Genomic DNA, 16,275 nt, shown 5'->3' with positions numbered 1-16,275 from the left:
AAGCTTGATTTTGGTAGAAGAATCACTCAACTGTAAATCTTCCTAGTAGGCTACTGTCAACGGTTTTTCTGTAAAACCTAGTTTCTATGTAACCATAGAACAGAAAGGTTTAAAACTTGAAGCTGAGAGTTCTCGCAGTACATGGAGGAGGCACCTACTGGCCCCAGCCTATCCTTAGTTAAGTGTGATTTATACCTATGTGTGCTTCACGCTCGGGGCTCAAATCTGTGTCCTGTGGGAATGTGTGTTTGTATGTGTGGGTTGGAGGTAGATGGGAAAAGAGAAGAGGGAGAGGAGATATATGGATTTACAGAGTATCATTTAATTTAACCGACATCATAAATTACTAGTTTATTTCACTGGTCACATTCTCAACTGTGATCCTGTAATCATCTATGGAGGTTTTGCCTATTATTTTATAAAACAGAGACACATTGCTGTTGTTATTTGTCTAAAAATAAAAAGCATATTAACTGCTATGAGAACATTATCCATTATTATGAAAACTTTTATTCATACTTAAATGTATTAAAACTTGTCTTACTTGTTTGTCATTCCACTGGTAAAAAAATTGCCTCTGTAGTAGAAATTAAATATTCAGAATATGGACTCACCCAATAAGTTAATTTCCTATAATTCCTTTCTATTTCATTTTTATTACAAAATGGTGTTTCCTTTAGCCCACATGAGATTTGTGAAAGGATAAATTAGTGTAGTCATTTTAGGGTATTATTTTAAAGCAAAATGCACATTTTAAAAAAGACAAGAATTATTCTAGACTCATGGAACTGATAGAGGCCTCCAGAGATCACTTTGGCCTCCCATCCTAGTACTATAACAAGTCATTAATTTCTATGGCAGATATTACCTCACAGACAGAACTCAAAAGGATAGAATTTGGCCAAAGTAACAAACCTCCCCGCTGCAAACTGTAAAGAGCCCTCTAGGCAAAAAATTCTGTTTTTTTCCCACACTTAAAACTTGTAAGTCAATGCAGGTAATGTGTTGAAAGGGATTTTTTTACTGCTCTATTTACTTACTACAAAGGTTAATAACATAACCTGGGGCATTTAAGTAAACTACCTATGGCTCTGCACTGACATAAAATGAACAACTGATGGATACCCTCTGAATCATGTTACCTCATGTAAAGATTGTTAAGAAGGGACTCGTTATGCTCTTTCTTTCAAATCTAGTTATGCCTCCTTTGTCAGTCTTTTTCTTACCATCATCGTTTCCCATAACTCAATAATAATATTGCTTTCCTGAAGTCTCTTTGCCAAATTTAGCAAATTTATCCAAAAGCAAAGCTGTTGGAAACTATTTCTGTAACAGAAATTGATAAAGGTTTATTTGTTTTATCCTTAGCCTTAAAGTTTATGCTTACTTATATAAAAAAGCCATTTAGAGTGACATAAAAATTCTTTTACACTATATCAAATGCTCCTGCTTTCCTTTTTAAACCTGCCTTAGTACCTTTTCCCTTTCTCCATACAGCCAACAGTTAGTGTTGCTATCGCAAGAATCATCTTTAGGGCATCTAAAGCATATTTTCAGATGCTTACTTTCTGTAACTTCTCTTTGATTACGACATAAATGGTTTAAAACTCTAGCTTCCAGATGGCATCAGTAAATATTTAAAAGTTGTTTAACATAAAAAGAAGTCTCCTTGATTCTTTTCTATCAAAAAGCATGAAAAGAAACTACCTTTCATTTTTCATTTAGGTAAGTTTTTTTTGAAAGAGTTCATAGTGCTTTGAAAATTTTATGTAGTGTTATAGAATATAATTATTTCAAGGAGGCTCAGTATTTAAAAAATTATTTAAAAGGCTCAACATTCTTTTTTGATAAAGTGTTGCATATTATTATCCTTATTTAGTAGACTAAACAACTGGAAATTATTAAATTCACGAGAGTTTTAACATCATGGTTCTGAGTATTTAATAGGAATCACCAAATGTAGACCCCGTGAACACAGGGCAAAAAGGCACTTGAGAAAAAAAATTTTCATTATCATTATATTTTCTTTATTAAGATGAGCCTCAGAAAGTAATATGAAGTCTTTGATAACTGTAATATTTAGAGGTATGATACCGAAGGTTTTGAGGAAGTAAGAAAAAGAGTAGCACAAAAAAATGAGCACATGTTCTGGGGTTTATCTGAATCAATCAGCTTTGAAATGATAAAATGCCACAGTTTGTTGTAATTGTCCATGACAGGACAAAAAATGTACAATTTATTCACAAAGATAGCTGTCACCTGTAATCATGCCTTATCCCAATAAAATATCTTTAAATAGTGGAATGTATAGAATCATACCCAATGTGTGTGGCTTCTGTCCTTCCTTCACCAGTGAATACACATCTTGCAGCCAGTAGGTCACCAAAACTTACATCAACTGGATGCCCCACAGGGTAGAAAGCCTACCAAAAAGACAAACACAATGAATCATTAATATTACCAATAAAATCCAGAACTACATGTTTGACTGTGTTGAGGTATGTTCCTCCTTTACCCCTTTTTTGAGGGTTTAATCATGAAGGGATGTTGAATTTTATCAAATGCTTTTTCAGCATCCATTCAACTGATCAGAGGATTTTTGACCTTAATTCTATTGATATATCACAGAACCCCATGCTTTAATAATGTGAAGCTTGGTACACTCTGGGTAGAGAGGATGAAGACAGACAGTGAAATAGACACACACACACACACACACACACCCACCCACATACACAAATAATCACTGGATAAAAACAGTTCACCTTTAATCATCGGATAAAAACAGTTCACCTTTAATTAATAACTTCTACTTTATGACAAGAGCACCAAACTTTGAAATAAACAAAAAAATACTATTAGCAAATGCATCCCATAAAAATCAGAATAAATGTGATAATAGAAGAGCTGTCTGAAATACTGTCTTTGAATAAATGATGGGATGTGAAAGGCCACCAACATGGTTTGACCATATTGAGAAAACTGACAAAGAAAGCAACAAATTGGAAGTTGCAAAAAGGAGGTTATACAGCTCAGTTATACAGTTAAGGCAGATTTAGAGATTTTTAGAGAAATTCACAAGAGTTGCATAATAATTTTTAAAAATTACTTTCTGCTGGTTAATATTTTTTTCTCTCAAAATTAAACTAGATTTTACCCACCTGTGGCAGCTGAGGGCTCTGCCGTCCAATCAGTGTCCACTGTCCATTTCTTACTCTGTATCCACTTACTACCTTACCTGTAATAAACACAAATTTTAATCATTTAATATAATAAGGTATTAGAAAAACAAAAGGCATATTTACTTTCCTACTTTAAAGTAGAAATCTGAGTATTTTCAGAGCTGCAAAGACTGAGTATCTTAAAAAAACAATATGATAAAACAGCATAAAATATTTCAAGGTCTTATATGAAATCACTTTCATTGAAACAGACTTAAGGTCAAACACAATTTGCATTTTAATTTATGGCACCAGGAAGCACAATGGTAAATATTTATAATTTAACATGTAAAGTTCTTACCTAAATGGTGAGTGTGAACTCTATAGGCAAAGACATGCATTGGATAATTTTTATAATGGCATGAAATGTCAGAATTCACCACTGTGGGAAATGAAAACACAGACAAAAGTCACTATTCAACTGGAAAATGACATTATTCTTATCTAAAATTATGCATAGGGTATTCACAAGATGCTAGGGACTGAGGTTTTCTTATGACTTAAATACACAGATATTAAGCACTTATTCTGTGCCAGCCACTTTACTCACATGAATTAAGAACCCCTTGCCTTATATTTTTATTTTATTCATAAACAGAATGACTAGAACCAAATCAAAATACTCTGTTAGTGAAAACATAGGCTTAATTTGTTACCTTTAGCTTGAAATTTATCCAGTTGAGAAAGCTTAAAAATTGGTTTTTATTTTTGGAATGAAAGAATTTTTGAAAAATTGAATGCAGACACCTAACATCACTACATTGACAGTTCCTGTTGAGAAGAGGCCATTTCATACTGTTCCTTCCTTATAGTCTAACACAGTAGCTATTCAATAAATATTCATTTTATAATAGATGAAAAAATGGTAACAAAGAGACCATACTGGTCATTAACTTTAAGAGATTCCCAGCGAAAACAAATGAACAATATTTCATATGGCACTTTCATCAGAGGATCGTAAAATATATTGATAAATAATAATATACTTATTCTCATCGCTTCTAGTAAGCTTGGGAGAATCAGCTATTATCATCCCCATTTTGCAAGTAGAGAAGTAAGCCAACTATATCCAAGTTTAAAGACTAAGTTGGTGCTGGATTTGCTAGTCGTTTAATTTTTAAATCTTTCTATGTAGAAGTTTATGTCACTGCTCATTATGCAGTGTGTCCTCTGCATCTCAAGAATGGATGATTTATTTTTAAATACTCAAGATTTATTCTTTAATTTATATAATACACACCTACACAAGGGCCTCAATTCCTAGCATCTCAATAAAGAATGGAAAAGTAATAAACCACTGGCTTGGAATAATACAAAAATCTATTTTAAATCCAAGGACAATAAAGTATTGGTTCATTTTTCCAAGACATAAAAATATTGATTATTTTTAAAGTTTATAAAAAATACAGTATAAATCCATTTCTACAGATTAGGTAATGAGGTAATGGTAAATATTAAAAAATCATTACTCACCTTTTTCTCCTGCTGGGATAACAGTGTCAACAGACATCATAAGGTACATGCCAGCAATTAAAGGCTGTCTGCAGAAAAAAATAACATTTTTCTAAAATACCTGAAAAAGTCAAAATGACTGTTTTGGAAAAACAGCATATACCTCAATACTTTGGTTTATAAAATGTGATGCTTTTGAAAATTGAAGTAGAAAAAGAGGAAAAATTTTTCTTCCTTAAAAAATACTTTTTCATGTGAAGGCAGACTCTAAATGGTTCCTGTGATAGCTAACTTTACGTGTTGACTTGGCCAGGTGCCTGGTTGTTTGGTCAAACACCAGTCTAGGTGTTGCTGGGTAGGTGATTTTTAAATGTGATTAACCTTTAAATTAAACTTTGAGTAAAGCAGATTATTTTCCATAGTGCGGGTGGGCTTCATCCAGTCCATTGAAAGTCTGAAGAGAAAAGACTAAGGTCCCCTCAAAAGGAAAGGATTCTGCCTGTGAATTGCCTTTGGACTCAAGAATGCAACATCAACCCTTCCTTGAATTTCCAATTGGCTCAATGGATTTAGGACTTAATCAGTCCCCACAATAGTGTCAGCCAATCCCTTACAACAACTCTTTCTCTTTCTCTCTATTCTATTGGTTCAGGTTTCTTTGGAGAACCCTGACTAATCAGCTCTCATGATTCCTAGCTGTGACATTCATGCCCTGGTCTAATCCCCTGCCCTTTAATGTGGGCTAAAAGAAGTGTAGTAACATCTTTTTAAACATTTTTAACATTTTTTTTATTTCCATAGATTTTTGGGGAACAGGTGGTATTTGGTTACCTAAGTTCTTTAGTGGTGATTTCTGAGATTTTGGTGCACCCATCACCCAAACAGTATACACTGAACTCAATTAGTAGCCTTTTATCCCTCACCTCCTTCCCATCCTTTACCCTGGGAAGTCCTCAAAGTCCACTGTATCATTCTTATGCCTTTGCATTCTCACAGCTTAGTTCCCACTTATGAGTGAGAACATACAATGTTTGGTTTTCCATTCCTGAGTTACTCGGTAACTTATCTTTAACAAATAGAATATGGCAAAAGTGATGGTATGCCATTTTGAACATTAGGTTACTGAAAGACTCTGGCTTCCATCTTGCATGCATGCCCTCTCTTCCTTTTTTTGCTTACTTTCTATGATGGAGGCCAGGTGCCATATCATGAGCTGCCCTGTTTATAGCCCACTTGGCAAGGATATGAGGGCGACCTCCAGCCAACACTCAGCAAAGAACTGAAGCCTGCCGACAACTATGTGAGTGATGTTGGAAGTGGCTCCTCCCCAGTCAAGCCTTAAGCTGACTGAAGCCCCAGCCAAGATTCTGACTACAGCCTCTGTGTGAGAACACATGCCTGAGGATCCAGCTAAGTGTGCCCAATTACTGACATACAGGAAAATGAGACAATACATATTTGTTGTTTTAACCCAGTTTAGGTTAATTTTTACCCACAGATAATTAATACAGTAAACTTCCCACTCTAAGTTCGCAAAGATGTTAAAGTTGCTGCTCCTCTAGGAAAAATGGAAGTACTTACGGCAGACGTGTGAGGTGTAAGGACACACCAGAACAGTCCTTGTTATTATCTGAAAACACACATAGAAACACATATCTTAAATATGATAATGTAGAAAATGGATTTCCAACTAGTAAGATAGAAATGATTATAACCAAATATTTTAAAACACAAGTTATGTTTCATCTGTATGGTTCTTTATGATTTACTAAGTACTTTCATATCCAGTAATTCCTTTAATTGCCAATGTATCATAACAGCAAAAACAAAACTATCATTTCATGCAGTCTATGGTATTTCTTGACTCATCAAACTGACCAATATATTGACTTTCCTGCAGACATACTAGATACTAGAAAGTTGTTAATACTCTCTATGCATTATCTGTATTGTTGAAAAACCCAGAAAAGTTGCTGAACTAAAATAGTTTGCTCCATGCTGCACCAAACAAAAGACTTTTTTATTTTCTAAGAAGTGTAGTTCATAATTTAGGTTTTCATACACTTTAGGCATTGCTGAAGTCTACTGACATTCATATATTATTTCAAAATAGAATTTTATTATTGTAGAGACTTTAAATTTCTTCCAGTACAGCTTTCCACAGTTTGACCTGAAGAGCCCATATGCTTGCACATATACACAGTGAGAAGTCCCAGTGGGAGCAACTTGAATGCCCTCAAACAAGGTGGTCTGGAGGCCAACAGGGGTCCTGGATCAACAGCTGCTCCTATAGCAGGTGGCAGTTTTGATAAGCAGCATATTTCAGCCTCAGTGTTTGGTGTGAAGATTATGACCTCCAACACGATCCTTGCCACAGTGATGCATTATTATTTCCATAACCTCTATGCTGATCTTACTTCTGTGAACTCAGAAACTTCAGCTAGTTTTGCATATTTCCCTGATGATTTGCAGTGTGCTCTGACTTTGTCCTTCTGTTGTAATACAGTGCTTGGGCCACAAGATATGAAACCTCCTAAGAATTAATTGATTTCAATTCATTAGGCTATATATAAAATCTGTCTCTGACATGCATCATCATAAAAGCATTTGACAGTTAAAACGTTTATTGCAATAAAAATTGATGCTTCTGCTAATATTTTACTACATAAAATGAAAAAACAAATCAGTACTCAGACAGTTAAGAACTGTACAGAAAATGAACTCAGAATATCAAAATCATATATCCTGGCTGGAAAAGCCAGCTGGATAGACTTATTCTGTGACTAGAATAAAAGTAAAAAGGAGAGAGGGGGGGAGAAGAATAGATAGGCAAATTAACTCAGAGCCAAAGACCACAGAAATGGAATCCCACTGCTTAAAAAACAGATGGGAACTGTCGTGAATCAAAAAACTAAAATAGTCAGGTAAGAGGATTGAATTTGAAGGAAAGGCAGAAAGGAAGCAAAATATATTTATATATATTTTACATATATTTAGTTTATATATAGTTTATATAAGCTATATGAACTATAGATTTACATTTCAATATAAATATTGAATTTATATTTCAATATAAATATTGCACATTTCCACATGCCAAATTTGTCAAATAGAAGGTTTGGGATTCATTTGTATTTTTCAATCCTGCACAATTATTTGATCATAGGATAGTGCCTTACAGGACCATCATCAGTTTTCAACGAAGTGCTCACTGAGTTCCTTTGTCTAAGAGAAGTAAAATCTAGGTACTTAATACTCAATAGATTAGCACTAGTGATCAACATTTATACCAGTAAGAAACTCTAAGTAGTCTACAACTGAGATAACTTAGGTAAAGAACTTAGCACTCTATTTAGAGCATAGGAAAAAATCACTAAATGCTTAGTTATTATTATTCTATTGGTATATTCCAAAAAATACAGTACATGAATATTTTATTTTTAAGAAATGTATTTTACAGTTATGAGTGTGAAATTTCTTTAATGAAAGAAACTGAAGCACATAAAATTTCTCCAAGTAATAAGACAGGACTAGAAGAAAGCAGGAAAAACATGGGAAAATTAAAAGAGTAAAATAGTTAAAAAAATGAAATTAGAATTGAAATTTGGTATGTTATTGTGCAAAACATGTTCTCAGAAGGGTCTGAACTAGCTAGATACAGAATAAAATCATAAGTGAAGCAAAGAAATTTTAGTAAGATAAATGCCATGGTCTGGGTAAAAGGAAATTCTTAAATTAGAGGCCATGGGACCGTAAAGAAGTTGATAATGTTTCAGGGTCCTTCCATGACTTTTAGTAACAATGCACTCCTTGACCAGTCCCAAGACAACCTTATTTTTTTTCTGAGTTTTGGGCTTGAAGTCAGTTCGACGGGATCCTAGGTTTGTAGAAAAGACAGTGAGGTCATTTTTGTGTTGATCATGAAATTATTCTTCCAATGTACATTCAGTTATTCTGTACAACATTATCATGCAAAAGTCCTAACGGCTGTTCTTTTCAGGTGGTTTCATTTATTCTTATTTTAGTTTTATTATTCCAAAGTAAATATTCTTTCTTTCATTGGGTTGGGCGCCAGGTTAACTCTCTCTCAAAGGTACACAGGCAAATACCTGGCCTTTAGCTACTAATGTCCTGTATTTACAGAGAACTGAACCCCAAGACATCCCTGTTAAAAAGATTTTTCATAGTGGTTGTTCTCTTGCAATAAAAATAATTTTAGTGTAAGGGTTTTCAAGATATGGAGATGAAACTTCATTCACTAGATAGGTATGAGGTAAAACTGAGAGGGATATTTCATTATGTCACTATTCCATTATAATGTCATATGCATGTACAAGAAGCTTTTGTAATGTTGAGGACATTTACAGTGGAAAAGTTGAAATAATAATTTTTAAAAAGAAATGTAAAATAGCCAAGTCTGATAATGCCTTAGAGGCCATCACAACATAGGACAATATTGTAGTGCTGGTTGTTGGGTGGTAAGACTTCCAAAGAGTAGTCTGATAATGAAAGAAATGAGTATTTCCAGATACTGGATGAGACTTGAAAATAGCATTCAATCAGAATCTAATTTTAAGGAAGATGAAACTGAATGACTGCTTCACAAGGGTCTGGGCTTGCCTTTGAGAAACTGCTTTCCTCTGCTTAAGCAGAGATGTATAACCATGCCGAATTATTTTATCAGATATATAGACTCACAGAATCTCAGAACCGAAAGGGAAACCAGACATGATTTACTCAGAGAGTGTAAGTTCAAATCTTACACTTTATGGATAGGGAAAAAGAGGTCACAGAGATTAAGTGTGTTGCCTCTTAAAGTAATTCAGCTAATTGGTGACACATCTGAGTATCAAATATAATTCTCTAATATTAATGTTTAATAAATGCTATTTACTAGAAAAAAAGGCAAAAATAAAAAACAAGGGTTCTATATCTTAGAGACTTCCAAGGTTAAAATTCCTAGGAAGCTAAGATAGAGGAATTAAGCAAAAATGGGTAAGTAACCAGTGGTACTTAATTAAGGACATCCACTTAAGTAGGAATTCTCTTAATGGGAGGTGAATGCATGGGATATGAGGTTATTCATCCCAAACTATTTAGCTTGCTTTTCTAATAATAGCTTGTAGTTCCTGCTTGGATTCTTAGCTAAGTAGTAAATTATGTGGAATAATGCACGATAATAACCTACTACATCTTACGTTCTTAGATGATCTTAGATGGTTCTGTTGGTCTCTCCTAATTTTTCCTCTAGAGATAGTGCTCTATACTTTATGAGCTCATCTTGTCCTGGTTGTTTCCTGCTTCAATAAAAAGACAGATTAACCGCTGATCCTGAGGGAACCAATGTATTGTTATAAACTACGTCCCACTAATTGGGAAAGTCCTTCAGAAAGACATTTGTAGAGTGATTTTCAATTCACCACACTCTTCTATGAAGGTGAAGGTAAAGGTTAGAGCACACTCATTTCCAACTATTCCAAGCCACCCTTTTGGATAATGGATTCTTTCTTTAAGGAGGTACTAAAAAGTATGCCTGAAACCACTGCCAAGTCTTAGGAAAAACAAAAAGAAGTAACATCTTCAATAATAAAAATTAGGCTGGGCATAATGGCTCATGCCCATAATCCCAGCACTTTGGAAGGCCGAGGCAGGTGAATCACTTGACCCCAGGAGTTTGAGACCAGCCTGGGCAATATGGTGAAACTGCATTTCTACAAAAAAAAAAAAAAATTAGCCGGGCATGCTGGCGTGTGACTGTAGCCCCAGCTACTTGTGAGGATTGCTTGTGCCTGGGAGGTCGAGGCTGCAGTAAGCCATGATCACACCACGGCACTTCAGCCTGGGTGACAGAGCAAGACTCTGTTTCAAAAAAAAAAAAAATTTAGAAAATTTGGAAGCAAATAATTCTAAACTGTATCGTATCTTCCCACCCTCCCAGAGTGTTCTGAACTAATTTAAAGGCCACCTTCTCTACTTTCTCTGTCTTGAACATACAAACAAAAATGAATCAGGGACATCATTTTTATATTATCACTAAATGCAAATGACTTTGCAATAATACACATACATAGATGTTGTAATAACTATTTGACTATTAAGCTGTTTTGATCTTTACCTTATGGTTCTTTGTTCTAAATTAATAACATTAAATTACTGGGACAGGATGTTTTGCTGGGGCTAAATCATGGCTCCCAAGGTGATCAAGCAGGAGTAGGAGATTATTTGGGGATTAATTTCTAAAGTTGAGGGAAATTTCATATAATTATAATTACTTTGAAAATCCCGTAGGAGAATAAAGAGTGAGGTCTCCTAACAGATCCAACACAGCCAGTTTCCTTAGCATTGGAACAGATTGCTGTCAGCTGTGTCAGTTGGGCCATGTTGTTTTTTTAAAAAGATATTTCTATACAGTTGGGCTGTGCTGTTATATAAAAAAGGTCATTTCTGTGCAACTGAAACTGCTGCAGAGAGATGGGACATAGGTATGAGAGGCAAATAAAAAATGAACCCAACTGAGGGAAAAGCGGATCCAGATCTTGTGTTCACTCTGGGCTCTATTAGAGACGTTGAATGAAACTCTGGTTTTAATGAAGCTAAGACACAGCTCTTTTTTTTTTTTTTTTTTTTTTTTTTGTACCATCTGGATTAGAAATGCAGGTCCTAAAGTCAGTTAACAGTACTCAAAAAAATGGTGGTCATCCAAATTAACCAGAAAATTCATATATTAAAGTTTTTTTAAATTAGTTCCTTTCAAACAAAATCTGAGTTACCAGATTTTTTTAAAAATTAGTTCCTTCAAAACAAAATCTGAGTTACCAGTCCTGAGCATGAGGACTCTCCAGTTACAGATACATCGAGATAAAATAGTCTCCATTCAAAAGCACCGACACTTTAAGCTGTCATGGCAAATGTGTATCTGCTTAGCAAAATATAAGTGAAATTGGGGGACTGTTAATACATGACACAAGCTACACTGAGGTTTTCCTGGAGGCTGCTGAAAGCTGGGTTAGCAGATGACCTTCAGTGCTAAATAAACCAGCACTATGGGAAAAAAGAATCTTCAAAAACAATTCCTTTTGAAGCTGTCACTGCATTGAGTTAGCCTCTTTTGATTTTGTATTCACTGCTATGGGACTAGAAATTACTAGCTTCCATTTGCCTTGCGGCAAGGAAGAGAAAACGCATTTATCCATCCTGCAAGACGACGACTTTCACAAATGATGGCCTGTGCTGTTCGCAAAAGAGATCAAATGGAAGGCAGGAAGGCAGGCTCTCCAACCTGCTTTTATAATTGCTGTGTGTGTGGAGGATGTTATGGCACACCTAATGTAAGAGCACTTTCCTGTTTCCATCTTTTATGAATGCAAAAAAATATGAGTCTACAGTGAAGTTATGATTTATACTATTTTATCTCTCAAAATTATGAACCTGCTCCAGAGGCATCCTTCTAAGAAAGTAAAATTAAAAGATAAAACCCACCAATCCTAGATAAAGTTATTTTTTTAAAGTACAGTGCTAAATTTCAAAATTATTGATTGGCTTTAGAACTCTTTATTGAACTCTGATACACAGAAAAGTGCACAAATCAGAAAGTACAGATCCAGGAAACTTAAAAAACTAACACCCATGTAACCAGCACCCAAAAATCCTCCACTCACGTCCCCTTCCTGAGGCATTAAGTTTTAAACCTTTATATTTATGTATATACCATATTTAAACATTCATTTGTCTTCTGAAAGAGTTGTCTTTTGGCTAAAACCAAAAGAAACATTTAACTAACTTGTTCACTTGCTTCATGGGCTTTGGTTGGGCAGTTTTAAATATTATACTTGGTTACTAAGAAATATTTACTTTTTTTATTTCCTCTTTCTTCTAGTCAAAAGGCCTACTAACTGCTTACCTCTGATATCACTTTCTTACCTCTGATATATATCACTTTCTTACCTCTGATATATATATATATAGCTGATATATATATATAGCATTATATACATAGCATTATAGATATAAAATATATATAGCATTATATATATATATACACTTTAAATGTTAATCTGAATTTCCTTTTGCGTTGTCCCAATTATTATCTGTTTTTCCCTGAGTCCAGAATGTAGCTGCAAAAGTCTAGAAACCATAAAGAAAGTACTAGATAAAATAAATCATGAAATGAAAAGGGATTGAAGAGCTTTGATTTTAAAAAGTCCTTTTAAACACAATTTAAAATATAAAGCTGAAAACTATTTCTCGTATAAAATTCTCTATTATAAATTTTTGAATAGTCTTGAGGGTGTTTTCATATATATGTGTGTGTGTGTATGTGTGTGTGTGTGTGTGTGTGTGTGTGTGTGTGTATGTATACATATATAAAAGGTTTCCTTTCATTCCCATTGGAATTCTCAACTATTTTGTGCAACAATGTGTTGTCTCTCTTTTGTTTTACTTAAACCTCTAAAGACTCATGATAAACAAAGGGAGGGTAACCTGGCAGCAAAACTATCCATTTTGTTGGGAACACAGAAAGTTTATATTCTCCAAAAGCTATAATTTAATAAGAATATATATATTTTTTAAGGTCAACCTAAAATCAGTATCTACATTTTCAACCCAATCATCTTAATCTATTTACAATACTATTCTGTATTGTGTTTTGGTTCCTTGGTGAAAAAATAAATCCAAAGTATCTAATTTACATATAACTATGTATGCATGTAGTCCCTGGTATTAATTAGGGAATACACTTTGAACATTATACCTCATACATTTGATTTAGTATTAATTTTTCAGTCATTCAATATGTTTATGTAGTAATGTAGTATGAGGATTAAAAAAGTAACATAAGGCACTTCTAAATTGAAAAGTAGTATATAAATGCTAAGTATGATTACTATGTTAATGAAAAAAATACTGAAACCCTTCAGTGACCTGAATTCTCTCTCAACATTCCCTTGGAATTTTGCAAGACTTTATACTATAAGACAAAACGTCAGTGTAGAAGGGTCTGTGGCTACTGACCAGATTTTACTTTACTTTCAGTTATTATTAGGGGTACATCACAGTTAAATTGTGAAACAAGGATAAGACGTACTTGCAAAGAAATGAGACTCGAAAAGTGTGGGGGAGGACAGATGACCCCATGAGAAGAAAGAGTTTTGAAAGTTTTTAAAGATGGAAAAAAGAATAATTAATATGTAATGAAAAGAAATGGAGATAAGGTGAAGGGTTTCCAAACTGGATGAAAAGAATAATGTTTCTATTGGGAGAAATAGGAAGGCTAGAATGTTCTCTTCTGGGTCTAGGGAAGGTTTGATTTTATTTTGCTAATAGAATATTCTGTCCATATTATTAAACATTATATTTGAATGGTTTTCATCAAATGCTTTTTTAGGTCATGTATCTATTTAGGGTATCCTTTTCGTTTTACAAGTAAAACAGTCAATTAACATAAAAGAAATTAGTACTAAACGGGAAATGGAATGTGCAAATCCCAGCACTTCTAATGATTCCTTCTTTTCCCAGAATTCCTAGAACATAATAAACAAACATGTCAGGGCCATGAAGAGAGCAGTGGGGAACAGCGTGAAAGGCAGGAAGCCTGTGGGAGTGGGAGTGGTTAGTGAAAAACAAACCTCGTTTAGTGTTGTGAGTGCCCTGAACTACATTTCACTGAAACAGAATTGTAGCTCCTAATTTTAGACTGTGCCAGTGAGCAAGTGACTTTATTTCTCCTCTTAATTTACTTGGGTTAAAAATTTAATGCTATTTGCCATTAATTCAAATGGAATTAATTAGATGATGACTATGTAGCTCTGACCAGCTTTTAAAAATGAGTTAATAATTATGAGCGATTAAAAAAACATGAGTTGCAAAGGGATCAATAAAGGTAAAGCATAAGGATTTCTCAAAAAAACTAGAAGAACTAAATGTAAATCTGAAAAACTAAATTGCATGTAGGAAAGCTTTTCTTTTCCCAAAAAAGACATCACTTACGCTCTGCTCAATGTTGAATTACTTTTTTAAAAATCCACGTTTTAAGGGATAAAAAACATTCTGAATATATTCTTTAAAAAAGAAGTATAACTGTAGTGCTTTACATATCTTCTCATAACCCTATGAATGAAAGTGTAATTCCTGATACATAATGGCCATATTTAGGTATTAAAATAAACAGGTGTCCCATGGAATCAATGAGATGACTGAGGATCATTTGTCTTCCATACTAAAGATGATTAACAAAGTTGAAATGCAGCAAGCTAGAGAATCAGAGAGCTCACAATTATGTGAAGAGGCTGCAAGAAAAAAATACTGAAGGATAATAGGCTTCTTTCAGATCATTTGGGAGGTACTAAATAGTCCTAAAATCATTCGCATGACTCACATCAAGCTGCTTGTGTATAATGAAGGTTAGAGAAGAACATGAAGAATATCCGATTACAATTCTGAAATCAGTGGGATTATCAAGCAACCTGATTTAGAAATATCTCTACATGATAAGGGAAATGGATTACTTCAGACATGAAAATGAAAAGGCACAAATGAGATGAAGTAAACCACTCTGATCTTTATTAATATTAATTCTACTGTGCATGAGTTCATTTCACTTCATAACTATGGCTCAAAAGACTTTTAAAAACAGTGACTCTATTACTTGTTTTACATAGTTAGAGCATGAACTTTGTTACATACACAAACTAGAAAACCAATATGAATTAAATTGTTTTGGTTTTTAATAGCACTGGACTACCTTAGGCAAGTCATGCAACCTTTCTGAGCATCGATCTTCATTTCTGTAAAACGGAAGGGTGAGGCCTGATGATCCCTTTTAGTTAGGCTGTTCTCATTCTGTCACTCTGAACTCTGTTCTCTGTCTCTGATTTTAAAAACGAGTGCTTTATAAACAAATGAGTACATGACACATAACATCCATTGGTCTTACTCCTTTTCTTTTCAGAAGAAGGAAAAAAACGTCATGCTTTCCTGTTCGACAGTGCTTTCTCAGCCCATTTCAACCTCTTCCCCTTAACTGAAAAGGCCTGAGAGGCCATGGCGTTTCGTGCAGGTTGAATGTTACCTTCTTGCCAATCATTTCTCTTTCAGATTTGGTTTCATGGACCTCTTCCTTTCCATTTCTAGTGTCTGTCAACACATATATTCCACTTTAAAATAAAAAATGTAAAAAAATGAAGGAATATAAATTATTTTGGCCCATTCTTCAAAAAGATATATCTAAATCAAGTGTGAAGAAGGAACATTTTTGCACCTGTATATGGGGAGGGGGATCTCTGAGAATGTCAGATATGCATTGTAAGTGGCTTCTATTAAAGAATTTTAAAATCCAAATGCCAAATTTTGTGAAAAAGTTAAGAAAATAAATTCTTCTTCGAATTTCTAAATGAAATAAAGTGCTAGAATAACCAGACAGTAATTAAATGCATTTTCTTCTTTCAAAGCTCCCCTTTTCTTAAGAGAATTGAGATTTAATTAAACTTATTTTGGTAAATGCAAATTATTCTGCTCATGTCCTAGGCCCCAGGAGATTGCCCTGACACACCTGTTCTACAGGAAAAAAATGCAGGAGTGACTTTAATCCTTGCTAGGAAAATTT

At 34.1% G+C, this 16,275-nt stretch overlaps 1 protein-coding gene across 58 annotated transcripts in view; it reads right to left on the bottom strand.

Moving 5' to 3' along the window:
* The window catches only part of PAM (peptidylglycine alpha-amidating monooxygenase), a 276,323-nt gene that overhangs the window by 77,966 nt on the left and 182,082 nt on the right, over positions 1–16,275 (bottom strand). For all 58 annotated transcript variants that reach the window (NR_157231.1, NR_033440.1, XM_024446066.2 and 55 more), the window contains 5 exons: positions 6,255–6,303; positions 4,695–4,762; positions 3,523–3,603; positions 3,162–3,238; positions 2,320–2,423 (listed from right to left, as the gene is read on the bottom strand). Coding sequence is in view for 56 of the 58 variants with exons in the window: in XM_024446066.2 (XP_024301834.1) it covers positions 2,320–2,423; positions 3,162–3,238; positions 3,523–3,603; positions 4,695–4,762; positions 6,255–6,303 (379 nt within the window). In the remaining 2 variants the exon portion in view is untranslated. The remainder of the gene's footprint in view (positions 1–2,319; positions 2,424–3,161; positions 3,239–3,522; positions 3,604–4,694; positions 4,763–6,254; positions 6,304–16,275) is intronic.

This window comes from Homo sapiens, chromosome 5 (genome assembly GCF_000001405.40).
Source record: "Homo sapiens chromosome 5, GRCh38.p14 Primary Assembly".
Lineage (NCBI taxonomy): Eukaryota > Metazoa > Chordata > Mammalia > Primates > Hominidae > Homo > Homo sapiens.
This window is presented reverse-complemented; position numbering and strand designations above follow the sequence as displayed.